We start from the raw sequence: 27,785 nt of genomic DNA on the forward strand, positions 1-27,785 counted from the left end.
TATCAAAGCTCATTAAGTCTTATTTCACCTTCATACCACTTCATGGTGTAGATGCTATTATCATCATCCCCTTTACAAATGAGGCCCAGAGAGGCCCAAACCTTAAGATATGTCTAGAAACCACTACTGCCAAATGAATAAAACAAATACTTTCTAAAAATTCCCCAAAGAGCTTCACACCAAGGGAAAGAAGTGGTGCAGATAAGCAAGAATATGTTATCATCAGTCCCAAAGGGACAGAGGGAATCCCGGTCACAGACCTCGGAGATTCCCTAACCTCATTTAGCTTTTCTTTTCCTGGAAACCTTAATGTATTAGGTTGGTGCAAAAGTAATTGTGGTTTTGGCCATCAAAAATAATGGCAAAGATCGCAATTACTTTTGAACTATCCTAATAGTAATAGTGACACTATTGCTAATTTCTTTCACAGCTAGATTTATACTTGCTAAACTCTAATGTATATATAATATATACATTAAATATATAAATACATATTAATATATATTATATATTAATATATATTAAATATATAAATACATATTTAATGTATATATTAAATTTTAGCAGCTACATATACATTAAAGTTTAGCAAGTATAAATATATACCTATATATAAAGAGAGAAGCACTTTCAGAAAGAGAACAAAGATCATTGCAGCGATAGCAAAGACACAGAATCAACCCAGGTGCCCATCAACTCTGGACTAGATAAAGAAAATACAGTATATGTGTGTGTGTGTGTATATATATATATATACACACACATATACTGTCCTTTTTACACACGTATACTGTCCTTTTTACACACATACACTGTCCTTTTTCCTTTGCAGCAACATGGATACAGCTGGAGACCATTATCCTAAGGAAACAAAGCCAGAAACAGAAAACAAAATAGCACATGTTCTCACTTATAAGTGGGAACTAAACATCATGTACATATGGACATAAAGATGAGAACAATGGACACTGGGAATACAAGTGGACAGGGGCAGGGGCTGAAAAACAACCTATTGAGTACTATGCTCGCTACCTGGGAGACAATTCATTCATACTCAAAACCTCAGTATCTTGCAATATACCTTTGTAACAAACCTGCACAGGTACCCCCTGAACCTATAAGAAAAGTTCAGAAAAAAAGAACAAAGGAATGATTAACAGAAACCTTTGGAGAGATGAGATCGGGGAGGGGTGTGCATTATATAGTAGCAGTATTCTATTTTTTGAGTAGTGAGCATATGGTATCTTCTTCTTATTATTATTAGCAAAACACTACATCTATGTTTTGTATATCTGTGTTTGCATGCCCTTCTGAATATACAAAACGTTTCATAATTTAAAAAACAATTAAAAATAGAAAAAGTGCTTGTGGATCTATCAACATTGTCCCCAAAGACCATCCCAAGTCCAAGCTGATGCCTGCAGGTTTTAGAACATAGCACACATTCAAGATGTGGCCAGCATCCCGGAGGCCCAATATCATTGTGGGGTAATAGGGGAAACTGTCCAGGATGCTTGTGGCTTAACCCTGGGTCAGCTGAGATGCTGCAGCTCCGAGTCATCGTGGTGTTGCTACAGAGTCTGGGTCATCCAGGCTCCCAAGTATCCGGTGGATTTCGTGGAAAACAGAGAAATCAAATGGGGGGTAGGAAGGAATATCTGTTAAATCAGTCAACACATGTTCAGCATCACATGGACTCATTTGGAGATGCTATGATGCAAGCGAGTGGAACAACATACTACCACAGCACAGCAACGGGGCAGTCCTGCAATGGGGTGGGGTGCTGCCTTGACATCAGGAAGTCTCTATGCTGGGGGTGAAGGCTGGAAAGGCTGGATCAAGCAGCCAGAGGCCCACAGTGAATGAGACCATTTCAGGGGAGCTGACAGAAGACCCAACCCTGCTTGAGGTTATTTGCTGCTATCAAGAAGCCAGCGCCCAGGACCAGAGTCCACATGTGGAGATGTCCAAGCCTCTGTGGCTTGAGAGCTGAAAGTCCCAGGAATGACAGGCAGAGACTAAAGAAGGCAGCAAAGAGAAAGAGGAGATGGGGGCTGGATAGGAAACATCAGACGCACAGGAGAGCCCAGCCAGGGTCGTGGCTGGAGCCAGCAAGCCCCATCTCCTGAGCCCTTCTCTGAACTCCCACCCGCACCCCACACACTCATGCATCTCAGTTGCAGACTCTGCTGGCCCGGGACCCACCTTGCAAAATCCTGGGTGGTATCCCTTCCTTCCCCTGCCCACCACCTTCTTATGCCCCTCCCCCCCACCCCGCCCCTTGAAAACAGAAAGCCAGGGAAGTTGCGGCTGATGAGGAAACACCTACCTGAAGGAGCAGGGGGCAGGTAAGTGGAGCCCAGGGGTGCTCTTCTGTGAGGTCTCACAGACACTTCAGACCCAAAGGCTTCTGAAATGAAGAAGGGGAAACCTTTTATCTAAGGCGGAGCGCTGACCGCCTCCCCAGTCTCTAAGGAAGTGGGCACGAGAGGCTCTTTCCAGGGACTTTAGTCCCCAGATCAGTGACTGCAAACAGAAGTGGCTTGTTGGGAGCAGGCATGCCATGTCATCGCTGGCAGGGGTGTGGGGGTGGCGGCTGGGCAGCAGCCAGGATGGCCCTCCCTCGAGGCAGGGAGTAGCAGGAGCAGTGGGAAGCGGTGGCGGCAACCAGCCCCAGGCAGAAGGAAACAGCCTCCCGCCTAGGCACTCCTTCTCCTCTCACAGCCCAGGGTGTCAGGAGGGAGGAAGGGCCTTTTCGTTAGGGAGACCCACACTCTCACTACCCCCTCCATCTCCAGATTGTAGGCAGCTCAGGAAGCAGAGCAACTGGGCCATGTGTCCTGCTGCTAAGAGCGGGAAGACGGCTGCCCCAGGCAGGGCAGAGGAGGTGCCGCACAGGAGCTGGGAATGGGGCAGGCTTGGATGGCAGCCCACAGCCTTGGCCTCTTGGGACAGCTTCAAAGGCAGGTGTCTGAGATCTCCTGTCTGTGGAGACCGGGTGTAGGCGGAGCAGGTGTTGCAGGGGTTAAATACAGCAAAGCATTGCTTTCAAACAGGATGTTTTCTGCCACTTTTAGCTCTTCCCCAGACATGCTCAACACCCCCAGCTGCAGTAGGGTTGACTCTGCTGCCCAGACTCTGGATCTTAGCAGCTGGCTGGGGGGCCAGCAAGGAGGGATGGGCAGAATAGTATCCTTTCCACTTCCACTCACACCCGGCCCTACTTGTCCACCTGCAGACATAGACAAACAGACAGACACACACACACACAAACACACAAACACACACTTCTTTCCTTCTCTGATGCCAACAGGAGGTGACCCTGGCAAAGGCCTTTAAGTCAGACCCCAGATGGGGTATGTCTAGACCCCAGCTTTTGTCTTTCTTTGGAGACCTCTGTCTTCCAGTGGCCTAAGCAGGGAAGGGGGAGAGCTCAAGGGGCTTCCAAGACCTGGGCCCGGTCCTAGAACTGTGAGCCGACTGAGGCCACTTGCCACCCCCTCCAGTACTGCCAGCTCCCAGGGAGCATCTGAGGAAAACACTAGTGGACAATGAGCCAAGATAACCTAAGCTGGGCTGGCCCACCCCCACAAGAAGCATGGGCAGTGGGAGGTGTCTGCTGAGGACAGGCATGCTGCCACGTACCCCCAACCCAGGCCCTCCTTTGCCCCCTCTGCTCCTACTGCCCAAGTCCTTCCCAGCTGACCACGCTCTGCAGGGTTCCTCCTCTGGCCTTATTGATTCCTCAGGCTCCTTTCCTGGTGCTCAGGAAGGTGAGGTGGGGACCGGGTGGATGCAGAAAGGAGCACTGCTTTCCTATCCTCAATCCCTGTGGTTTTCAGAGGTCAGAGGTGACATCCAGATAGACAACCACCCTGGAACTTAAAAAAAATGTTTCCGGAGTATTTACTACATGCCAGGCCTGCTAAGCTCTGCATACATTATTTCATTTAGCCCTCACAACAGTTCTGTGAGGCAGGGAGCAGTCCTACTTGTAGCAAAGCCAAATTTCAGAGCACTCTGAGTGACTTACCCAGGGTCCCACAGCTAGGCAAGTGGTGGTTCCTGGGGCCAAATGAGGACAGGCTGATTGTAGTGCCCAACTGGGTCCTTTTGCAATGACAATCATCAGAGCAGATGCCTACTGCTCCGCACTGGGCCCTGCTCCATGGTTTTCCTGTGTCCTCACTCACTTCACTCTCATAAGAGCCTCCTCCAGTGGGTACTTTATTGCCCCTATCTTAGGGGTGGAAACTGAGGCGCAGGGAAGGTGATTGTCTTTGGAGCTGGATTTGAATCTAGGTAGCTTAGCTCTGAGTCATTTCTGCAACCCTAAGCCGTGGACACCTTTCACTTCCACTAAGTCAGGAGCAATGCAGAGAACAATCCCCAGGTCATGAGGGAAGAACCTGGGGATTGTTCTTTTCCTTCCAAGGATCCCCAGGCCAAGGGATGGCAGGCCTCAGCCAGGTTCCATCCACTTTCTGTCACCCAGCCCCTCTCATCTGGGAAAATCCCATTCAATAGATGGGCCTCTCCTCCTCACTCGACTTTCCAATAGTGGACGGTCCTTTTAGGAGAGATATCCTAGATTCAGCCTCTAAGTCCAAGTGCAAGCCTATAGGAAAGTGGGGCAAAGACATAAGGTGGAAAGGAGGACAGGTGGAAAAACTGCTTAATACCTGCCCTCTGCCACGTCACACGCCCACCCCACCAGCAATTCATGTTCTGAGTACACAGAACATCCCACTGCTTTTGCTGGGACCGTCCCCAGAGCAACCCTCTCCTGACCCTGCTTTAGAAATACCAAACCCCCAGCACTAAGCTTCAGAGAAGCAGAGGGGGAGGAGCTCAACTCTGTAGAAAGCCCCTGGCTTCCATCCCTCCAGGGCCTGCATCCCACATCAAAAACCCTGCCTGACCCTGACCCCAGTGCTGACCTTGCCTTAGCAAGAAATGAGAAGATAACACGTTTCCTTCCAGTCACTGAAGCCACAACCATTGCCTCTCCTACACGTCTGCCTGTCAGCCCACACCACAGGCGGCCCCATCTTGCGGCAGCTTCTGTTAAATGGGCATCCCCGGGGCCATCTCGCCTACGGCAGTCTTGCAGGGTGGCAATTGCCAGGTGTCCTGGGCAGAGCCCTGGGAGGACAAAAATCAAAGTCCCTCATGGCTCAGTTTAACTCCACATTGACTGGACCCTCCTAAGGGTGGTAAAGCTGTGACTCTGAGAAGGACCATGGAGTGGACAAGAAGTCTGACCGCTAATGTCTTTTCTAGCTCTGAGAGCATGCAACTCCAAGACTGGAATTCCCATCATGAGAAGCACTATTTTTTTTTCTTTTTAAGAGACAAGGTCTCCTCTGTTACCCAGGCTAGAGTGCAGTTGCACAATCACAGCTCACTGCAGCCTCTAATTCCTGGGCTCAAGCAATCTTCCACCTCAGCTTCTCAAGTAGCTGGGGTTACAGGTGTGAGCCACGCCAGGAAAGAAGACCTTAAATGAGATGAAGCTTTCTCCCTGATCCCTCATTAGCCAGATGAACCACAACATTCATGCCTCAGTGAGTGAGACTCACTCATCCTCAGATGCCAATGAGCAGGAAGGGCACAAAAGATGTGGCCCCTAATCGACCCCAGGAGAGGGGTCCTCTCTCTGCCAGGTTGGGACTGGAGTGATCTAAACTGGGCTTTCTAATTGTTGACATTGTTCCAAAGTTCCTACTCCTTCTAGAAAGAAATGGAAAGCTAAGCTATTTCCCCACAGAGTGGGAGACAATTCTTCTTCTTCCTAAAATTGCCACACACAGAGTCAACCAAGTGTTGGGCTTTTCCAGGAGAAGATATGCCTGTGTGTCCGCCAGCCACAACCGCACATGTACTTGTGCGTACACACCCTTGTCTTGCTATTTTTCGTTTCATCATCCATTAAACTCTGCCCCATCGAGTGCTAAGCACTGCATGACCTACCTAACTTTTTGTCTTCTCTTTATTCTGGTGCATAACTCAGGCATAATAATATCATGGCCAGCTAAGGTGATACCCTCTCTTTCTTCTCCACCATCCCCACCATGTATCCATTTTCTTTGTCCAGAACAGTCTCAGTACCTCCCAGAAGAAGCTGACAGAGAACAGAGTGATAATAATGGGGAGTGGAGAGGGTTTACTGTATAAATAGAACATATCCAAACTACTTCCTGCCCCGACTGTCTCCCCAGCTCCTTCATACACACATCTTTTAAATATGTGTAAGAACGATTGGAAATTATTTTCTACAGACCACAATGTCCACAGTAAAACCCAAGAGATAACATTCAGCTCTGAAAATCTCAAGATTGGAAGGCAACAGCACCACCTAGTCCAATCATCTTAAATTTCTTCTATGATATTCTAGCCAAACAGTTTTCTAGCCCATGCTTGAATAATTTTCCTAGTGGAGAACCACCTCCCACGGCAATCCACTCTCTTTGGATGGCTCTATGCTTAGAAAGCTCTGTATCATGCACAGATGGAACAGCACCCCATAGCTTTCAATGGCTCCTCCTAGATAGCTCTTTGTAGCCATGTTAGACAAAGCTACTAGGCCATTCGCACAGGAGCTCTAGAGGAGGGCTTAGGGGGCCACCATATGGTACCATATGCACATTAGAAAAAGGAGCCCTGGCCGGGCGCGGTGGCTCATGCCTGTAATCCCAGCACTTCGGGAGGCCAAAGTGGGTGGATCACTTGAGGTCAGGAGTTCGAGACTAGCCTGGCTAACATGGCGAAACCCTGTCTCTACTAAAAAAAAGAAAAAATACAAAAATTAGCCGGCTTTGGTGGCGGGTGCCTGTAATCCCAGCTACTCAGGAGGCTGAGGCGGGAGAATCTCTTGAACCAGGGAGGCAGAGGTTGCAGTGAGCAGAGATCGCACCGTTGTACTCCAGCCTGGGCGACAAGAGTAAAACTCCGTCTCAAAAAAAAAAAAAAAAAAACAAAGGAGAAGAAAAGAAAAATTAAAAAGGAAAAGGATCCCTTTTTCTAAGACTCTTAGACTTTTCTAAGACACTAAGCCCTAAGACACTTCACTTCCATCAGTCAGAAAATTATAAAAATAGAACACTCTATAATGCTTATGTTGTGAGTGAAGTTGCAGGGGAGAAGCAGCAGAAGATAGCCTGGGTTACACTTAATTTTGATTTAGACTCCATCAAATTCCCAGGTTTGATCATGATCCCCACAAGAAGAGTGAGTAAGGTGGTAGCACAGACAGCGTCCACCTTTGTGGCCTGCACCTGGAGAGAACAGTGTCTGTTCTATGGAAAGGGCCCATGGAGCAGTGTGAGTGCTGGGTGTGCTCCCAGCAGGGCTGCCACCTCCTCTGTCTGCCACTTGGCTCTTTCCAGAGGAGGCTGGGCCCCAGCAACGCAGCTCTAAGAACCTCTAAGAACATTTAAGAGGCTCACCAGTTATGACTGACTGAACGATGGGAAATTCAGTGGCTGATGACACAGTAGTTGTAGGAAGGAGTTTACCCCTGAAGCTTGTTCTTCATTAACCCTTTTGGGACTATGCATCACCTTTGAGAACCTGCTAAAAGCCATGGACTGACACCCCCTGCAGTATCAGGGTGTATTAGTCTGTTTTCACGATGCTGATAAAGACATACCTGAGACTGGGAAGAGAAAGAGGTTTAACTGGAATTACAATTCCACATGGCTGGGCAGGCCTCAGTATCATGGCGGAAGGTGAAAGGTACTTCTTACATGGCAGTGGCAACGGAAAAATACGGAAGAAGCAAAAGTGGAAACCCCTGCTAAACCCATCAGATCTCATAAGGCTTATTCACTATCATGAGAATAGCATGGGAAAAACTGGCCCCCATGATTCAATTACCTCCCCCTGGGTCCCTCCCACAACACGTGGGAATTCTGAGGGATACAATTCAAGTTGAGATTCGGTGGGGACGCAGCCAAACCATATCACAGGGCTAGTGGGTCACTCCATGGAAACCAGGCTACATACTCTCATTCACCAAGGCTACTCTGGGGAACTCCAGCAGCTTCTTGGAGCGTGGCAGGACTCAGAGTGGGGAGCCCATGAGGCCTCAGGCAGTGGAGCAGGAGATATATGGCTTACTTAGATAGATTTCCACTTCTTATCAACAATTTTTCCTGCAAGCTGCTTTTTTCCAATGGAAACTCTGCCCTTAGCTTTGTCAACAAGATTTCTGGGCTGATTACTGCTCTCCAGGTAACAGGCAGGCTATGCCCGTCACTGCTGGAGAGTGGCCGGTGACGCATAGGGGACTGGCCCATTTAGAAGCTGCAGTTCAATCTCTCTGGTTTTACAACTGAAGAAACGGAGGCCGTGAAAGTAGAACCATGGGTATTTAGAGGCTGGGATGGGTAGCAGGGAGGGGAAGATGGGGAGAGGTTGGTTAACAAATACCAAATTAAAGCTGGACAGGAAGAATGGATTCTGGTTTTCTGCAACACTGCAGGGTGACTCTGGTTAACTATAATTTACCTTCTATTCCCCAAAAGCTAGGAAAGAAGATTTTGAATGTTCACAACACAAAGAAATGATAAATGTTTGGGGCAATACATAAGCGAATTGCCCTGATTTGATCACTGCACATTGTGTACCCATATTGAAATATCACTCTGTATTCCATATGTACAATTATTATGTGTCAACTACAAATAAAAAGAAAAAATTCTAAGAAAGTCAATAAAAACAAGAGAGGAGAAGTATACTCCCTTACTGCGTGGCCTTGGACATGTCACTTCCTCTCTGATGGCCTCAGTCTCTTCTCAGTCTCCTCTGAGGTAATCAGAGAGGAAGTGACATATCCAAGGCCACACAGTAAGGAAGTATACTTTCTCACCTCCAGCCTGGCCGAGTCCAGTACCCCCAATCGCCTGCCTGAGCAGCTTCAGGGCGAGGATGTGGTGTGGGGTAGGAATGGGCCATGGAAGCTGGTGTGTACTCTCCCTTTGGGGCTGAGAGTTCCCTGTAGGAGGCCTGATGCAGACTGCAGCAGGTCCTCCCAGCATTGACTACATTCTTACAATCAACACAGAGAAACAAAAATGTTGCTAGGATCACCCACATGCTCCTGCCCGACTAACTCCAGCTCCTGGCTTCAGCTCCCGTGGCCAAAGACATGAACAAGAACTCAAGACAGGGAGTACTTTAGAGGAAAGTGGGATACGCCTGGCCTGAGCTTTCTCTACTCCAGGTGGGTCTTCCTGGGACACTAGCATGGGGGTACTTCCCAAGGATATCTGCTACAGGGAAAAGTTGATGAGACAAGGAGGCTATTTGTTCAGTGACTTGGAGACCAAGAAATAGAAACTGGGGCATCCCCAAAGGGAGAGAGTAGGTCCAGCCCTTCTTTGGGGAGACCCAAACTACTGCTAGTGTTAGTGCAGCTGATGGCTAAATGGGATTTTCTCTGAAAACAAAAACAAAAACAAAAAAGCAGCTCAAGACAGCGGGAGAAAGCTGCTTCCAAGCCACTCCCAAGCCCAGCTTCCAGTGTGCCTGTGTGCCTCCCTCCAGGCTAAGCATCTGTCTTAACGCTGGGACCCGCAGCCTGAGTCCACATAGGCCTGAGCCACGGTTTTTTGTTTTTTTTTTAATTGCACATCACTCCTTTATTATACTGATCTGGAAAAAGGATTTAGTACAGTTATGCTCAAATGAACACTGGACCCATGTGGCAGGACCAAGCAACTAGAACATGATTCAAAAAATCAGTGAAAGACACATTTGGACAGGACCAAGAGGCATTTCACTGCCACGAAACAAGGCGGGGAGGGATTCTAAAACACACAGCAGGAAGCACTCCTGCTCCTCAGAGGTCAAGGAGCTTATCCCATATTAGTATGAGGAATGGCTTATTTTCTGACGACCACATGAGGGACTATTTCAACTGCCACGAGAAACCCCAGAAAGGTTATTGTTTTGTATTTTACATATATGTAATATGTATTTTATATATATTATGTATGTAATATATATTTTATATATATATATATATATAAATCTAACACATAAACTAAATTCAGGATTGATCCCAACCTTCTAGAGCCAGCTCCTCTGGGGTCAGGGAGGAAACGGTTGTCACGTCACCAGGCAGGTTACATTCATCTTCCACTGGAATGACTAGAGCCCCAAGGCAGTGGCCTGACTGCAGAAGAGCAGAGGACTGGCTCCTGGGGGCAGACAGGCTGTCTTGCTTCTCCTCATTGGTTATGGCTTAGCACGGTTCCTCCCCACAAGTCCTTACTAAACAAAACACTCGCAAAAACCCAAGTCACTACCTTTAAACTCTCTTGGATAAGGGGAGCTTTCCCACAGCTTGGACTGAGAACGTGTGCCCTAGAAGTGCTATTCTGACTAGATTGTATGAAGGGAGTGGGTGCAGGAGACAAAATGGCTAAAATGAAAATGGGAGCCACTGGTCCCCATCTGCAGCTACAACTCAAGATGTCTACAGATGTGGTCAGTGTGACATGTGCAGGAGGGAGGGGCAGAGGGACGCGATGGGCAGGGAGGGTGCTCCTGGGGACAGTGGCCTGCCCAGGCCTGAGCCACTCTTGCTCAGGCAAACCTCTTTGAGGCCCAACAACCTACCCCTATCCAGGGTGGCCAGGCTTATTTTCCTTATTTTCCTTCTGGGACCAACGTGATCTCTGAGTCACGTAGACTCTTCCGCATTGTGTCAAAGGTCAGTATTCAAACCCCAGGTCCTACCAGCTCTGAGATATTTGGGATCCTTGGGATCAGACCCCTTGCCTTTGTCCAGCTACCTGGGCCAGCCTGATGCCCCTGGCCACCTGACCACTGTTCAGATGCCCCCAGAGCCCATTCCTGTCTCCTTATCTACAAACAGGGACATGATAATACCTGAGTCTCAGTTCTTGTGTGGGGATCAAACGAGCTGATCTCTGAGTAGCCCTCAGAAGGGTGCCTGGCACACCATAAGCTTTATGTGTTAACTATTATTATTATAACTGTACCTGGCTTTAGTATAATCAATGGAGAATCCAGGAAAATGAGAAGAACTTCAGGCCCGAGAGAGGTGCTGTGAAGGGCAGGATGCCTGCTTCTCAGTCCCAAAAGCTCCACCCCAAACAAACGTTGCCCAGAAAGCCACAATTTTGCTGAGCTGGGAAAAAAACTGACCACCCCACCCACTGTCTGTGGCTTCTAAAACTCTTTCAAAACTTCTTGGGGTGAGGAGAAATGAGTTGTTCTAATCTCTCTCCTAACAGTCAGAGAAGCTGAGCTACAAATCTGGACTTTTCCTCCACGTAAAACATAAAGCCTGTGGCTCCCAAGTTGTCACTGATTACCACCCTTACAGCCATCATCCTTCCTGTCCCTTCTCATCCAGTGTCACCTCCATCCCCCACCTCCCCCATCATCAAGTGCTGATCCTGTACCTGCATCTGTTCTCACTCTAGTGGGACCTGAAGCTTGACTACCTCCAGGATGCCGATGCCCCGCTGTCTGTTACCAGGGCAGCGGCACCACCACCACCCACCCCCACCCACCACCACCTGAAGCAGAAAGCAGAACTCAGGAGAAGGCTGAGGTGGGTGCCGAGGGGCTGGAGTCAGGAGGTGGCAGCGAGAACCGTGGAAGCCCTGGCAGAAGAATGGCCCTGCCATGCCCCTTCACCTAGACATGGGGTGGGCTCTGGCTCAGTGGGCCTGGACTTCTGGCTGCCCCAGCTCTTGAAGGCCTGGGAAGGCCATTCACTTATCCTGGGATAGATTCTGAAGCCTGTGTCAGAATCAGGGAAGGATCCCCAGGGTCCTCTGAGATGGGCAGGGCTGGGCTAACTCTCCACCAGGCAGCTCCGGTCCCATGCACGGCTGATTTGCCCAAACGTACCGTCTCCATCTTCTAGGTTATTAGTGAGGGTGGACACTTCCCCTGTACTGTGTTCATGCAGCTTCTCAGGACCTGGGCCACGTAGGAAGTTCCCACTCACTTTCAAGGGCAGCAGCAGTCACCCCAAGGTGACATCGGCTGCTCCTCCATTTCTGATTAGAATGACTTCCCCCTAACAAGCTTTTCCAGAGCTGTTTGGTCAGGCTTCTGGCCATCCTTCTGGGTAGGGTCCCTCTTCAGGACACCCCTGGAGGGCCAGGGATAGGATGTGGCGGCATTTCTTCTTGGCCTCACACTGTGGTGGACATTGACTCTGGCCTCTGCTGCCTTATCTCTGATAGGGTCCCTGCCTATGTTTAAGTGCCAGCCACATGGAAAGGCCTGTACTGGAAGTGAGAGACACAGTGGTGAGCAAGACATAGACCCTGTCCTCTAGGAGCTTACAGTCTACCGCGGGTTGGGGGGTGGGGATGGGGGACAAACAGGAACCTCCAATTCAGTACGACACATCCTACGATCCAGGTAAGTGCCAGGTCTAGAGGGAGCATATGCAAGAGCCTCTGCCTCATCTTGGTGAGAAAAGAGAAGAGAAGGCTCTTTGGAGGCTGTCCCCTCTCAACCTCTCCACGGAGACAGGAAGGAGCAGAGGAGTTTAATGTGGTGTGGTAAGAGGCGTAAGGAGCACTCCAGGCAGAGGATACTGCACATGCAAAAGCTGAGAGCGAAAGGGAAAGAACATGTTTGGGACAGAGAAACTCATTCAATGTGGCTGGAGAGAGGGAGAGGGTGCCAGGAAGAGACGTAATAACTGGCCACACTCATGTCAAAGGCCTGTAGGAAGTACATTCCACTCTTTTCTCTGCTTCTTCAAGTTAAACCCAGTGAGTCTTGAATATCAGGAATTTTTAATTATTGCCACGATTTATTGAAACTGAAGAGTTTCAGACCCCATTCAGATCCCCATTCCAACCTGAATCCACCTTGAGTGTTGTGACAACAGGGCCTCTCTCATTGTTTCATTGAGACGTTAGCTATGCACAGGCCTCTTCTGCAGCACAGCTGAAGTCCCAGCCTGGGTACACACAAAGCCACTGTCCCCCACAGTCCTTCAGGGAGATCCTTAACCCTGAGAAGAATAGGACCATCAGTAGTCGAGCTAGAAGGGAGAGGTAAAGGAGAGACCTGAAAAATTCAGCCTAGCTGAATAGAAAAAAAAAAGGTTTTGTGGGAGAAAATCAAAAGAAAGAACAAATGATTCAATAAGGGCAGATGGAAGGGAGGTTAGTGAACAACTCAGCTGCCATATCACCAGTGCAATCCTTACTTAATTCCTCAGTCTGTCCAGGGTGGTCAGATATGGTTGATGGGCGCAGAGAGAGGTGAGTTGCCCACAGCCGCAGGATCCCCAAACCTGCCTCCACCAGTCCACTCAGCCCACTCAGCCTACTCTGTTCTGGTCAACAAGGTCACTTGCTCATTGCCAGGAATTGTCTAAGGAAGGGCATCAGGCAAAATACACGATGCTCACAAACAACACTCACCACAGACGTGTGTGGAGCACCTCACATGCAGATAGGCACATGCCAGTCCATATCCTGAGTCTGGCTGTCCAAACTCACTGCTGGCCAACATGACACAAGCCTTGCCTTACCCTCAGAGCTATAATTGAAGATAACCCTCTTGGTTCAACGTTTCAGGCCAAATATCAGAATCTGTCTGGAGTTTTCTTCCCCAGGGCCACAAAGTGGTAGGAAACAGCTGTCTCTGTTCTAAGCCTTGAACCCTCACCAAGCTATGATTCCCCTTCCCCAGCCCTACCCATTTGTCATCTCCCTCTTCTTTGTTTTTCTTTGGTAGCCAGGGGGCAAAGACAGAACAGATTTAAACCACAGGGTACTTTCCATAAATGCTGCCCCAGGACAGAGGAGGAGCTAAACTCAGGGTCCCTAGAGGAGCAACTTCTTTCCCTCCTGGTGGTTAGCTGTCTGCAGCCCCCCAGCTGCCCTGAGCCAGGCCTGCTGCCCACCGGATGTCTGAACCAGCTGGCAGAAGTTCCACTCTCTGCACTCAATACTCTTTCTGGCAGAGGCAAACATCCCTCAAGAAGGAATCTGATGGACTAGCTCAGAACCTAGATTCAATTAAAAGACTTGTGGGTGAAACCCCATTTCCTCTGACTGGGCTGGGCCCCACTTGTTCAGCTGGAGTTGCTGCCAGGTGGGCTGCAGACAGGTAGCATCCTAGGGAGGATGTCAGCAGCGGTGGTCCGTCTCCGCCCCTGGGTGAGATGCCTCCTGCTTCCCTTCACTCCCCTGCCCTTACTTTTTCCAGAACTCCCCCTGACCTGAAAAATAATTCTGCAGCTAGGCTGGTCAGTAGCCCAGGATTGAAGTTTAACAGAGATGAAAATAATTCCCCCAGTGAGTTATTTTCTGCCCAGCTTTTGGAACAATAGCTCAGAGTGACAGGCAGGGTGGGGCGGGGGAGGCTGGCCTTGGGCCACTAACTGGGGTCACTATCCATTTAGGGCCCTTCCCATGTCCACTCCCTTACTCTTGCTGGCACCAGATTTTATAGAGGTGGGACCCTAGTCAAGGACTCAGACTAACTGCCTGCCACACCTGCCTCCACCTGTGGATCCACATGGGGCATGAGGGCGGCAGGACAGGGAAGGCCCGCGGGAGCCAGGAGTTTCCATCCTCCGTGGCTACAACTCTTACAGAATGCAAGGAAGAAGGAGAAAACACTGCGACTTTACCAAGCCTCCAAAAGGAGATTCTATAAGACTGTTGTGTCAGCTGAGATAAATATTTCAAATGTGTTATAAAAATTGTTACACTCTAAAATTACACTCTATAAAAATACTAGCTATTGCATTACTATTATTTTTCCAGGCATTTAAGAATAGGAGAGGAGGAGGAATAAATTCAGGTAAAAAGGGGAAGGCTGTGAAAAAACACCTTGAACGATTGCATGGAGCATGATCCATTCATTCGTTGTCTACCAAGCCCATCCCCAAACTTTCTCCTTTTTTTTGTGCCTTAAGACCCTATCCTCTGTTAGTTTCCTTTTGATTTTTCTCACACAACTTTTCTTCTAATACCTATGAGGAAATACCTTCCTGAGAAGACAGAGTATGGGAGGGAGAGAAGGAGGAGGGGAGAAAGGAAAGGAGGGGAAGGTATTCTTGGAATATCTTACTCTGAAAGCTTTCTTTCTAACTCACAAGGAAGAAACACTCTGTATTATAAAGCTATTATCACATTCTGGGAGGGGTACCTTCTAGTACGTTAGTAAGGAATTCTACAGGAACAGGGTTTTTCCTATCCCACTCTATAACAGTTACCTGTTAAAAAAAAACTACCAGAGGATGCAGTGGAGCCTGCAGGGCAGACCTGACTGTGATGTTTGCTGTTTGCCACCCGTCCTTCCCCAACACCAACAGTGATTACACATTTCATTTTTTTTAAATTGGCTGTCAATGTTTTAGAAATCAAGAGTTTACATTTTTGAAAAAAAATCTGAATGTCCAGCTTTCTATGAAAAAGTCAGATAATCTGGCCACACCAGGCTGAAGCTCCTGCCGGAAGCCTGCTGGGCCGAGAGGGGCTGCTCCCATCAACCAGCGTGTGCTCTCCAGTCCATCTCACCGGGTCTGCATCCCTCCAGCCTCACTCATGACCCACCTGGCCCTGGCCCCCTGACCAGCACACACTGACAGCAGAGCTCACGGTTAGAAGTGCAGGCTCTGGAGGCAGCTGGCCTGGGTGTGCCCAACCCTGAATTCTCCCTACCACTAGCTGTGCAACAAGAACCAATGAAATGCACTCTCTAAGCTTCTGCTTCCTCACCTGTGAAATGAGAAAAATAACACCACCTACTGCATAGTCTGTGAGGAGTCCATGAGATAATCACGTCAAGTGCTCAGCATAGTGCCTGGCACGTAGTACCTGCTCAGTAAACGTTAGTGCTTATTATTGCGCACAATTACTGCAATGACTAAGGAGAATTCATCTGAGTTGCAGCCCAGTTTTTGAAGATGATTTAATGACACAAAGCAATTGCCCTTCAACCCTCCTTTCTTGCTCAGGCACCTGGTCTACAGACAAAACCATCTAGTGAGTATATCTGTGACATGTTAGTTATTGTGTGGAGCAGGGGCACTTCAGAGACAGGATTCAGATCTGTTCTCGGGGCTCGGAGTAGAGTGGGGGGAATGGACGATGACAGCACTGACAGGTGGAGTTACGCACAGAGCTCTCCCCACAAGCCCTGCCCAGGACCACGCAGGAGCTTGGCATTCAGGAGGACCTGGGGGTGGGTCTGACTCTTTTCTCCTTCTCCTTCTAGGCTCCAAACCTTCGGGGGGCTTTGCTAAAAGACACCCAACCTCGAATTAGTTCCACTCCATTTCCAGTTTCCCAGGCTGTGCACGTGGTTTCAACAAAGCCGGTCAGACCTCAAATGGAGTTCATTATAATGGAATTTTACCTGAGGCAGCCCCTCCCCCACTTCTTAACATCATGGCACCCAAGATATGGGTGTGCTTGCCAAAGAGGCTGGGCAGAAGTCACTTCCTGCCCCTGGCAGAAGTCCGGAAATTCAGAGCCGTTTGGAACAAAGAACTCTGCCCCGAAGGTGTTTTCCAGCATCTCCCTGGCCAGATTGGAACTGCCCCATTCACCCTCGTACCACCTGCTGCGTTTTTTCCAGCCCTCCTAGACAGGAAGGGGAGGAGGGAAGACTGAGCTGAATGACCAGGACACTGCAGGAAAGGCAATGCACAAGTGAGGAAGAGAACATGCACTCTGGACTTAAGCCTGAATTTAAATTCTGGTTCTGATTTAGTAGCTCAATGTCTTTGGGCAAGGAATTTAGCCTCTTAATCTCTATGAACCTTGGTTTCCTCTTCTATAAAATGGGTATAATTTTACCAGCCTCGTAGGATTATTGAGAGGCATAAATGAGAAAATGCATGAAAAGCACTGAACATAGTACCTGGAACATAGTGAGTTATAGTAACCATTGGTTATTATGATTGTCAGCTATTACATAATATGGTAACCTCACAAGGGTCAAAGGTTGGTATAGAAAGAGACACTGGGTGGAATTGGGGTGAGGGGATGGCTGGAGAAGGTAGAGCCCTGTCCCTGATCCCAGCACAGGCCTGGGAGCCAAAGTGAGGCCCAGGGCAGAAGCACCTGCCTGCCCGGAGCTGACAGGCACAGACTGGATAGGTAATTACAAAGTTGAGAGCTGAGGTGGCCCATGCAACTGTCCAGCCAGCCACATTCCTTTGTCCCATGGGTGGATGGGTGGTGAATATCTGGCTGTTTATGTGGCTACCAGGATGGTGAGTGTAGTTAACACCTCTTTTCCCCAGTAGTCCTAGCAGGGTATTCGACCTTCAAAGGGAAAGGGATTCTCTACAGGCATTTGGCTCCTTTCCCCATGGCATCGCCTCTGTTCCCTCCACTCCAATCCTCCAGCTACCCCTTGCTTCTCAGGTTAAACAAGTCAAAAGGCCAAAGAACAAGGCCAGACTCTGAAGAGATGGCCAGTAGAGACTACTAAACTTCACCCCATCTCACTGGAGCCCTTAAATGATCAAGAAGCCCAGGACAGACATGAATCCATCACTGCCCCAGCCCTGTGTGCTTTGATTAGCCAGCAAACTCATGGTTCTTATACTTCCATGTCCTTTTCTCAAAACTGATGCCCAAGGAAAATATATATTCCTCCCCAGGTATTAATTGAGCACATAGTATGGGCTCACTGCTGACACCAGGCTCTTGGTTGAACTGAGGAGACCACCAAGTGTTTGGGAGGATGTAGAACCGTGGGATCCCTCAAGCACTGCTGGTGGAAGCCCAGAGAGGAAGGGCTTCAACTGTACTTAGAGGCCCAGCACAGAGCTCTCTCTGAGACATGTCTCAGGCTGTGACATGTATGTGGTCACCTGTACAGAGTGCAGCAGACAGGCACACACATGAGCCAGAAATTGGGTCCCTAGGTCATGAATAATACAACTATTATAGCTAATCATTATAACTGTAGAAACTCATCTAATGCAACTTTTTCATTTTAGAAATGAAGCCTGTATCAAGTGTTGAAAAGGATGGAGAACAATGGAGACTTTCATCCACTGCTGGAAGTGTTTTTTGGGACAACCACTTTGGAAAGCTGTTTGGCACCCTATAGCAATGCTGAACATAGAATTCCATGGGAGGCAGCAATTCCAACCCTAGGTATGTGCCCTACAGAAATTCTTGTGAGTTTCTCATGAACCAGAAGACAAGTATAACATGTACACCCCTAGCAGTACTGTCCTATCGTAATAGCTCAACTGGAAACAACCCAAATGTCCATCAGTGAGAGGAGGATATACAAATCGTGGTGTATTTTTCCAATGGAATTCTACACAGCAGTGCAAACTCATGAACTGCAGTGGTGTGCATCGACATGGATGAACCTCAGAAAACTCATATTGACTCAAAGAAGAGTGCATCACAGAGAACACACAGGTATGCGAACTTCAAAGCCATGTGAAATGAAACAACATAGTGTTTTGTAAAATCTACATAGATGATAACTTACAAAGAAAAGCAAGGAAACAATTAACCAAAATTCACTTTGGGGTGGGGAGTAAGGAAGGGGAATGCAAATGGGGAGAGGCAGAGGGGGCTTTTAAGGTGCTGTGAATGCTCCACTCTTAACTTAGGTGGTAGGTACAGGGTATAGGATTCTTTAATCTATACATAAACATATAATCTTGTGTATGTGATATATCGCGGTTTTTAAAAATGAACAAAAAAGAATTGAAGAACCCAAGTTGCAGAGAAGCTAAGTAACCTTCACAAGCTCATCAGCTAACAAATGACAGAGAAACCAATTTGCCAAATCTGAGTTTAGTCAGGTGCCAGGACAGCCATTCCTGAGTTCTAAACGGGCCTCTCACAAGGACAGGCTTCTGGGCTAGAAATTTTGAAAAGAAGTGCAAGAGTCTCTTTTTTCCCCACTGTTAAATTCCCAGTGTCTTGACTAGTACCTGGCACACCGTAGGCTCTTGGCCCATATCTACTGAATACACATGCCTTTCAAGGGCCTACTGTGTGCCAGGCACTTGACTTACATCATCTAATCCTCACACAGTCCTACAAGGGAGCTATTACTATACCCAGTTTACAGGTAAGGACACTGAGATTTGGACAGATTAAATAACTTGCCCAAGGTCACAAGCTACAAAGCGACCTCGCCAAGATTTGAACCCAAGAGTCTAACTCAGACCCTGTGTTTCTCCTGTTCTGCCAGGCCACTAGCTTCTAACAGCACTACCTAAAATTTTAGTCATCTACCAAGGAACCCTGAGACCCACAGGGGGTGGGGCAGGCTGAGCATTTTCTCTTCCTGCGACCTCTGTCTCCAGGCTCTGACAAAGCGGTTTGTATGGCCAGGCCCAGGGCTGGCAAGCCGTGTAAAGCAGTGGTTACAGGCTGACTCTGCAGCCTTGGGCAGGTGGCTGCATCTCTTTAGACCTTGGTTTCCCCACTATGCCTGCTAGAGAACATAACTGTACTTACCCCAAAGAGAAGCTATGAGGATTGAGGGAGGCAAGCAAAGCAATGTGCACGGGGCCTGGCATGAGGCTATCAGAGGAGGCTAGAGTCCATTTCTCCGTCCAGCTGGGCTAGGTTCAGGAGCCCTTAAGGGATAGCCAGGAGAGGGAAAAGGTAGGCAAAGTGAGAATAGCTCCCCATTGGCCAATGGGACAATCAGCACATAGTAGGTTTTCAATAAAGATGCCTGTTTGAAAGATTGTTTCCTATTTGCCTTCCAGACTATTAGAGTCATATTTGATTCCACACAATTTCTCTGCACAATCCTACCTCTGTTGGGTTCTTGTTCTTAACCAGAGTAAGGTGCCCAAGACTGCCAGAGAGGCATGAAGATCTAAAAGTGCTGGCAGAGGGAGCCTCCTTCTGAGAGGCCACTGTCCCCAGAGTAACCTTTGGGCAGTCCAAGCCTGTTCTCAGGTCAACTTGTTCAAACTAGTTAGTACATCTAACCTCTCAGCTCATAAACATTTACTGCGGGTGTATAATGTACAAGACAGGGCACTAAGTGCCCTGTGGCCATCCCATGAATGCAGAGGTGGGAGAGTTCCATGCAGGTTAAGAGCATGGGCTTCTGCAAACCTGAGAGGGAGTCGTGGGTTTCCTCCTCACAGGCTATGACAGCTTGGCATGTTGATTAACCTCACAGAGACTCCATTTCCTCATTTGTAAAGGGAACATAACTGGTTCCTACCTCACAAGACCTAGTGATAGGTCTGGGAGGCACGTAGCACAGCACCTGTTACCAAGTGAGTGCTCAGTAAGTAGCTGAAGCTACAACTCCAGTACCAGCAGGTGGCACACACTGGATGTGTCACCAGCAAAGCCTCGGGCCTCATGGGTATTCCACAGTGCCTGGAATGTCCCACCTTGCATAACACCTCCAAGCTCCAGGTTGTCATCAGAAGGCCAGTGAGAGGCAGCAGCTTCTCAGGAACCAACTGCCGAGTCTGCACAGACTCCGCTTTCCCGCCGGTGCAGCTGCCCACACCCTGCTTAGGACCAGGACTCTCCCCTGTGCAGAATGAGGACTTTGTATGGCATCTGGTTCTGGGAACACCACTTAGTCTATTCCCTGGCACAGGACCTGCAGGGCAGGTTTGCAAAAGCATGACACACATTCCAACTCACAGAGTACTGACTGCTTCTGCCTTCCACTCCTGCTATTCACCAACCAGACACCCCCATCCTCTCCCAGCCAGCCTTGGGGTGGGGCGGTCTCACCACCTACCCCCCTTGCCCACAAGTCACTTCAAAGACATGACTTCCCAAGAGATCTTCACTTGCACTTTTCATTTGTTGGCAGTGAGAATGACTTCCTTCCTGGCAGAGTAACTGAGAGTCACTACATGGTCATCGTGGCGGCTCTGCTCCCTCCACGCCTATGCCCGATCACCCACAGGCTGGACCTCTGGGGATCCCACCCTTTGCATCTGGACCATGAGGACCCAGGACCCAGAAGGCAGGACAGTTTCTCTTCCACATGTCGCCACAGCGGGATGCAGGCACTGCCATCAACGCCTGTCACTTGGATTGAGCAAGAACAGCCTCTCCCCACCCTGGACCATTTCCCCAATAGTCAGACCAGACCAAAGAGGCAAACTCTAGTGTCTTTGGGAACTGACTCTGTCTCCTGCAATGCAGCTTCTCCCTGGCTTTGGCCTCCACTTTGCTTTTCATTTCCCCGGAACCTGATTATAGGTGACCTATGTCCTTTATCAGAGTGGGCGAGGTTTGCCTACCCTTGCCTTCCTGGCTGCTTACCTGCTTTACAGCCAGACTTTCTGTGGGATAGTGTGGTCCCCAGAGGTCTGGGAAGCTGGATGAGCAAAATGTGGAGGCTGTAGATATGGAGGAAGAGGGAAGAGGAAACGTGAGGCCCAGTCTTGGCTCCACTATGAACCCCAATTTCCCCAGGGGAAGCTGAAGAGGAGTTGGCAGACCTTCCTGTCCCTGTCTGAGGTTGGGGTGGGGCAGGAAAACCAAAGGTGAGGCCAGTCACAAGTCAAGGGTGAAGGGAAGTCACACGAGTGGTGGGCTGGGTCCCAGGACAGGGTGGCCGGGAGCAGTGCCGCCCCAGGGAAAAGACGAGAATTGGCTGATAACACCAGGGAGCAGGCTAGGGTGTCGGGGGCTGTCCTCAGAATTAAGCTACCCCTGTTTTCCCTTGAGCATTAAGCCTCCCCCAACCTTATCATCCCCTCATCACTGCTGTGACCTCTGCTGAGTTTGGAGTGATGATCACTAGGGTGATTAATATTCCATTTTTCCCTGGAAAGTTTGGGTTTATGTCCATTGTCCTGGTATAACCATGCATGGCATCCCCTTTCACTCTCAGAAGTATCCCAGTTTGCAAGATACATTACACAGGCACTCTTTCTAGCATATCTAGGAGGGCACTGACACAGGAAAAGGTTAGGGACAAATCAGAGGGAAGCAAAATGACAAGCAAGGCCTTGGTGGCCCAGAGTGGCAGCCAGGCTGGCTTCAGCCCAGCTGGATCCTCTCAGAACTGGACAATAGTGGAGGGAGAGCCTGAGAACTGCTGCCCACCCTGGGGCTCAAACTGTCTTGGAGTCAGGGGCCTGGTCTGGTGGGTTCTGCTTCCTGCTATCCCTCAGAGGGCCTGGAGTCATGCTGGGCACACAAGAGGCTCTTAATCAAATCTGGTCAATTCCTTATTTCCCTCTACCTGCATCCAAAACAGAATTGCAGCAGGGACAAATGGAAGCTGGAGCCCTGTAATTCTTTATTCAGCAACACACCAAATGTCATCTAGGTGGTCCTCCCGTCTCTGGCTCTCTGGCCCCTAGGACCTGACTGCTGCACAGGCAACAGCGAGTTTCTAGCAGAGGTTCCAGATGCCTATTCCAGCCAGGACAGCGGTGCCTCCTTAGGATGTGGGGTAAGGAATGAAACAATGGGAACTCCCTTTCGTGTCTTAGATAACCACCTGATGTAGTAGCCACCTGATGTAGCCCACTCGGTCCCAGGCCTTTCTCCATTCACAGCCTGGGCTTTGGACACCTGCTATCTGTTCTGGGGGTAGAGTGTAGGGGTTCAGGAGGTCCTCTCGGAGCTTCCTCTGGGGCTTAGTTACAAAAGAGATCAGTTTTGAGGTCAAATAGGGGAAGAATACTGAGAAACCATAAACACAAACTATCAGGGCACCCCAAACAGCACCCGACCTTCCATAATGTTTATACAAACAAAGTCTGATGGCCTCTGCCGAAGAGGAGTAAAGGGTTGGGAAGGCTTTCTAACTCTCATTTTTTCCCCTCCTTTCTTACCCCATTTTCTAGTCCCTCCTTTAGCTTGGTAAGGGTCCAAGTCACAGCTGATCAAGACCAGCCAAACCCAAAGCCATGGGACCCAGCCAGAGCATAGACTGTGAATTCCCCAGCTTTTTGCAGTTTGAGTCAGCCCCACAGCTGGATTGGCCTCCCAGGACTCTTCTCAAATAGGTCCAGAGAGGCTGCTGAGTGGGGGCCACGGACTCTGCAGGGAGGGCTACTTCTGTTCAACGATCTCTAGCACCCAAAACAAAAGCCAGGGAGAAATGTGCAGTCTTACTACCTTCTGGTCTGGCTGCATGCCAGCCCTGAGACTGTTTCAGAAAGACTCACAGTTCCCTCCAGCACTTGGACAGGGAAGGGACGGCAGGTCTCTCAACACACAACACTCTTAGTCCATAGAATTGAGGCTCCAATGTTCAGATAACCCATTTCTACCTCAGCAAATCACCCTCACTCCCTAGCCTGAGTTAAAGCCTTCTTTGCCAACACCATGACTTCTCTGGCCCCAGACTTTCCTAATTTCTTTTGCTCACCCCCTTCACTAGCAGAGATGGGCTGCTAATGAGACCACTAGGCAGAAATGGAAGGAAGGGCTGGAAAAGCCTGCAGTGCTGGGATGCACCTCCTTATCCCAGGAGAAAGATGAGATGTAGATTTATCATAAAGCCACTATCCCTTCACGGTCACCTCCTGCTAGAATCATCTCATAGCCATTCCATAAGCACTGCTGTGTTGGGTATCTGAGCCCCTGCCCATGAGGAAGACCACCTTCCAGCAGGGAGCTGGAGCAGAGCTGAACTCTGCCCAGGAGAGCTTCTGCAATGCTCAGAAAATGCCTGCCCAACTGCTTGCCTGGGCTCTGGCCCCTTTGGCTGCAACTGAGCCCAGACAGGAGGCTGACTCACTCACCGCACGCATAGAGGAGGAGGAGGAACAAGAGGAGGAGGAGGAGGAGGAGGAGAAGGAGGAGGAACTGTGAGAAGGGTCTGGGCTTGGAGACCTAAGGCTCCCCCAGCCCAGGCTAGGTCTCAGACTCTGGTCCCTGGGTGAAGAGAAGGAGGGGCAGTTGTACACTGGCCCTGGAGACCACAGGCTGTTCCCTCCTAGATACTTCTGAATCTTCCTCACCACCACCCACAGATCCAGGGCACCTCACTTTTCAAACAGAAACTACTCCTTGAGCCCCTTCCTCATTTAAATGCTTGCCCCTGAGTTCCTCTGAACATCTATTGACAGGCTGTCCTGAAAAAAAATAGGGCCAATTAGGTCTAAACTCATTGGTAGTTCAAAGAAAAGTAAAAAAAAAAAAAAAAAAAAAAAAATTACTTAAAAGACCCAACTCCACCATCACAGGTGACCATACCTGGGCCCTGTAAGACAATAAATAAGGTTACACACCCTCCACTCCAGCAGTTCTGAGCACCATCGACAGCCAATCGCTCCTTTTCTTATTCCTCCACTCCATGCCAAGGCGCCCCGACAGAAGAAGGAAACAAATACTTCTTGTTGCCCAAGTGCTAAGCACTGTGTTAGCGGAGCATTTCTCCTAAGCGCCGAGGATGTCGCTGCTCCCCTCGCCAGCCTGGCACGAACTTCAGCTTTCTCAAACCTCAGTGCCCCTTAGTGTCCCAGCCTCATGGCACGACAGCCCGGACCTCAGTAGCCAAGTTTACCGCTGAGACTTAGACTCTAATGCTCGCAGCCGGGCGCTCAGGCCCCGGTATCCCAGACGCCCCGACCCCGAGTCCCTATCCTGAGACCCCCTTTCCCGCTGCTCCCGGGTTCGCACCTGGTCCGGCCGGCGGGTGGACAAGCTGTTCCGCGCTCCCGGCGCACACGGCTCCGCTGCCGCCTTTTGACAAGCAGAGACAGCCCAGCACCTGGCCCCGCCTCTCGGTCAGGCCCCGCCCCGGCCCCGCCCCGCCCCTCCGCCCCGCCCACAGGTCCAGTCCTCTCTTGCCAGGAGCTCCGTTGGCGCTGCAACCATCTTGACTTGGAATCAACCACCCTATAGGCCACGCTGTAGCCTTAGATACTCTAACTCGTGAAATTTTCATCGACCGTCGTCCATAGGGCAAGGCACGCTTCTGCCCTCTGTGGGACAGAGTTGTCGATGATTATAGGTGCGGATACCCGCTTCAGCCTGTGTTAATCGGGGATGCAGCCCCCCACCCTTCCTGCCGTGGTTCTACCCAGCCTGCTGCGGACGCCTGAGCCAGGTGCGTCACCCCCACCTGGGCTGACCAGGCCAGGACTTCGTCGTCCGCGGGACGCTGGGGGGCGCCTGCCGACTGGCACCGGCGGCTAGCTCCGCACGAATGGGAAATCCCGGGCTCCGCTCGCCAACCTGTTACTGCTGCAGAACGCCAGGAAGCTCAGCCTGATCCCACAGATTAGGGTAAAATATCCCGGGGGGCCGAAGTGGAAACCGGAGTTGCGTCATTGCTCCCACCCGATATCACCTTGGCAGCGACCGCGGCTGACCACGTTCCCGGCCTGTCGCGAATCTCACCCAAGGGAGCTGAGTCTCAGCTTCCCTGGTCCCTGGTCCCGAGTTCCGCCTTCCCCCCCCGCCCCGTGGCATCGGCGTGAGGGGAAAAGATAAAGACTACCTCCTGAGACCTGGAATTGTGGATGGCTGCGGAAAACTCACCACAGGAAATTTTGGCTTAAAGTTATTCTCTGCTTCCCTTGACTGTGTGATAGGCACCGCTCTATCTGCTAGAGGACAGGTGAAAAAGATGGGGTTCCCTCTTCTTAGAACTCACTGTGCAGTGGGAGAATGTATAAATAAATAGTAATTACAACATAATCTTCTGGAATAGAAATGCTCACAAAATCATCCAGCAGTCGATGACCTCCTTTAGCCAGGGAAGATATTGCTATTCGCCTCTTACAGAGGAGGAAACCATGGCTCAGAGGGACAAGGTGAAAGGGTGGGAAATTGAGGCATAGAAAGTTTAAGTGATATGCCCAACATGACTCAGCTAATCAATGAAGGACTAGTGCTAGAGCCCAGCAAATCTGCTGGTGCAATGGTCTCTGAACCATTTCTGAGACAGCTATGCTGGACTACATCATAACCAGCCCCTCACAACTCAATAATAGGGTTAAAAGAAATAGACTGAGATTAAATAGAAGGAAGAACCTTCCAACAGTGAAGTTTGTTAAGCACTGCAACAGTTCATTATGGAGGTATCATGGCAACTTTCTGGGAAGACTTAAACAAAAGACAGAAGAGAGGCATAGCGTTTGATTGAACTTGGGAATGGACCATTTATTCTGAGAAACAGATGAAGTGCCCCTTTAGAGGTCCTGCCAGTCTGATGGATGGATTCTCTACCTGTAATGAAAGTAATAGGAAGGATCCCCTTGCCCAAAGCATCGTGGGAAAGCTAGCGGTGATTCTTGTGGGAAGAAAAGCATAAGAGGAAATTTCCAACCACCAATACCTTGGGACATTCTCTGCAAGTCCCATGAGCCTCTGAAAGAGGTTGAACACTCAGAAGTCACTTTTGTGGTGCTTGACTGGCCTGACATCTTGCAAATAAACCTTATCAAAAGATGGTGGAAGATGCGTACTAAGTATTCCGTAGTAACTGAGAGTTAGTCTTTTTTCACAGCCTTTGTTGGAGGAGAGGTACTTGTAATTCACATGTGTAAACTGCTTTATAATTTAAAAATTCTTTGGAATATCTTACTTGATCTTTATCATAGCCTTTTCAGACATGAAGAGTAAAAAATACCGTTCCATTGTACAACTGATGTGCAGAGTTGTCAAGGTTTCTACAGCTGAGGAGTGTCAGAGCTACTGGACCCAGATCTTCTCTCTGCACATCCCACTGTTTCATGCTGCCTCTAAAAAACAAAAAAAAAATTTCCATGCATGCACTTTTCACAGAGTTGAAGAACTCAGAGGTTCTGCGTTTGGCAGATGGGCAAGATTATAGATGTCATCACGGTCCCCAGCACATGCCGTCATCAGCCCCGTCACCTTGTCTGTAACCATGTTCTTCCCATATTCCCCCAATACCTGAACTGTTCTCTCTCATCCACCTCTCCAGACCCTCTCCTCTTTCAGGTCCTGCCTATTCCATCAGGCTTTTCCAACATCTCCAGGAAAGGAACTGTCAATTCTCTGGTCTTTGTAGCGCATGCATTTTCTATATTGCATGGTTTGGCACCTGCTAATGAACCATCTTGTATTTACATTGAACAAAGATAGATTTTTTTTTGCCTGTTTTATTCTTAGAAGGAAGGTTATTTTGTGAAAGTAGAAAAGCAACATCATATGAGATTCACTTCTCCTGTGTTCTGTTGTAATCCCTAATTGTCTCTGGACCCTACTTCTCCCTAGCCAGGTACACAACTGGAAAGGGAGGTTGCTGTCCCACACCGTGTTCTCTTGATGCCTCGATGACAAGCACCATTCCTGCACTACAGAGTTAATAGTTTTAAATTCCCCTATCTTGACTTCTCCATAAACCAGGTACCAGAACCTCTGCAGAAGACATTAATTTTTCTTTTCCCTGAAGTTAACATTTCTCATATTCTCACTTATCCCTGGGATGGGTAGTGGTCTTTATTGGGATGTACAGATTGTTTTTTGTCAGTACTCATCTCTGCCAAATTACATCAGGGAATATCTCGTAAGCACTTGCTTGGTTAATATTAGCCAAGTCTGGTGGTGTGCTAGATACTCTGCTATAGTGCTATAGACTCAAAAATCTATATAGAAACAAAAGAGCCCTTCCCGGTGCATCTGACTTTGATGGAAAGATTCCAGAGGTACTAGGCTGAGGATTTCGTTTCATTCATTTCATTCCTGTGCATTTCATTCCACAGAGTCCAAAGAAAGGCAGGGCCTGGTCTCTTGACCTCTCTGCCAGGCTCCAGGCACCTGGGGATGGCCTGGGCAGTTGTGGCTACAGTCAGGCCACAGGACTGCAGCCTGTCCTCATCTCTGGGCTTCCTTTTTCTGCAG

General features: G+C 49.1%; 1 protein-coding gene across 8 annotated transcripts in view, besides 6 other annotated features; it reads right to left on the minus strand.

Moving 5' to 3' along the window:
* VDR (vitamin D receptor) overlaps positions 1–24,630 on the minus strand; it is a 63,458-nt gene extending 38,828 nt beyond the window's left edge. For 2 of the 8 annotated variants that reach the window (NM_000376.3, NM_001364085.2), the window contains exons 1-2: positions 24,591–24,630; positions 2,330–2,410 (exon numbers count right to left, since the gene is read on the minus strand). Coding sequence is in view for 2 of the 8 variants with exons in the window: in NM_001017536.2 (NP_001017536.1) it covers positions 2,330–2,410; positions 24,200–24,266 (148 nt within the window). In the remaining 6 variants the exon portion in view is untranslated. Of the gene's footprint in view, positions 1–2,329; positions 2,411–19,472; positions 19,595–21,269; positions 21,347–24,199 lie in introns of all 8 variants that reach the window. The other 6 variants (XM_047429500.1, NM_001017535.2, NM_001017536.2 and 3 more) reach the window with 6 other exon arrangements.
* Positions 2,177–2,689: an enhancer, noted in NCBI's record as "H3K4me1 hESC enhancer chr12:48276324-48276836 (GRCh37/hg19 assembly coordinates)". NCBI's record gives its function as "activates a minimal SCP1, AML or CMV promoter by ChIP-STARR-seq in naive H9 embryonic stem cells {active_cell/tissue: H9 hESC(naive)}" and the evidence as "EXISTENCE:reporter gene assay evidence [ECO:0000049][PMID:30033119]".
* Positions 2,827–2,936: an enhancer, noted in NCBI's record as "active region_6273". NCBI's record gives its function as "activates an Ori minimal core promoter by ATAC-STARR-seq in GM12878 lymphoblastoid cells {active_cell/tissue: GM12878}" and the evidence as "EXISTENCE:reporter gene assay evidence [ECO:0000049][PMID:35858748]".
* Positions 3,367–3,556: an enhancer, noted in NCBI's record as "active region_6274". NCBI's record gives its function as "activates an Ori minimal core promoter by ATAC-STARR-seq in GM12878 lymphoblastoid cells {active_cell/tissue: GM12878}" and the evidence as "EXISTENCE:reporter gene assay evidence [ECO:0000049][PMID:35858748]".
* Positions 8,896–9,075: an enhancer, noted in NCBI's record as "active region_6275". NCBI's record gives its function as "activates an Ori minimal core promoter by ATAC-STARR-seq in GM12878 lymphoblastoid cells {active_cell/tissue: GM12878}" and the evidence as "EXISTENCE:reporter gene assay evidence [ECO:0000049][PMID:35858748]".
* Positions 23,040–23,239: an enhancer, noted in NCBI's record as "active region_6276". NCBI's record gives its function as "activates an Ori minimal core promoter by ATAC-STARR-seq in GM12878 lymphoblastoid cells {active_cell/tissue: GM12878}" and the evidence as "EXISTENCE:reporter gene assay evidence [ECO:0000049][PMID:35858748]".
* Positions 24,623–24,752: a silencer, noted in NCBI's record as "silent region_4404". NCBI's record gives its function as "represses an Ori minimal core promoter by ATAC-STARR-seq in GM12878 lymphoblastoid cells {active_cell/tissue: GM12878}" and the evidence as "EXISTENCE:reporter gene assay evidence [ECO:0000049][PMID:35858748]".

The sequence above is a fragment of the Homo sapiens genome, chromosome 12 (genome assembly GCF_000001405.40).
Source record: "Homo sapiens chromosome 12, GRCh38.p14 Primary Assembly".
In the NCBI taxonomy this organism is placed as follows: domain Eukaryota; kingdom Metazoa; phylum Chordata; class Mammalia; order Primates; family Hominidae; genus Homo; species Homo sapiens.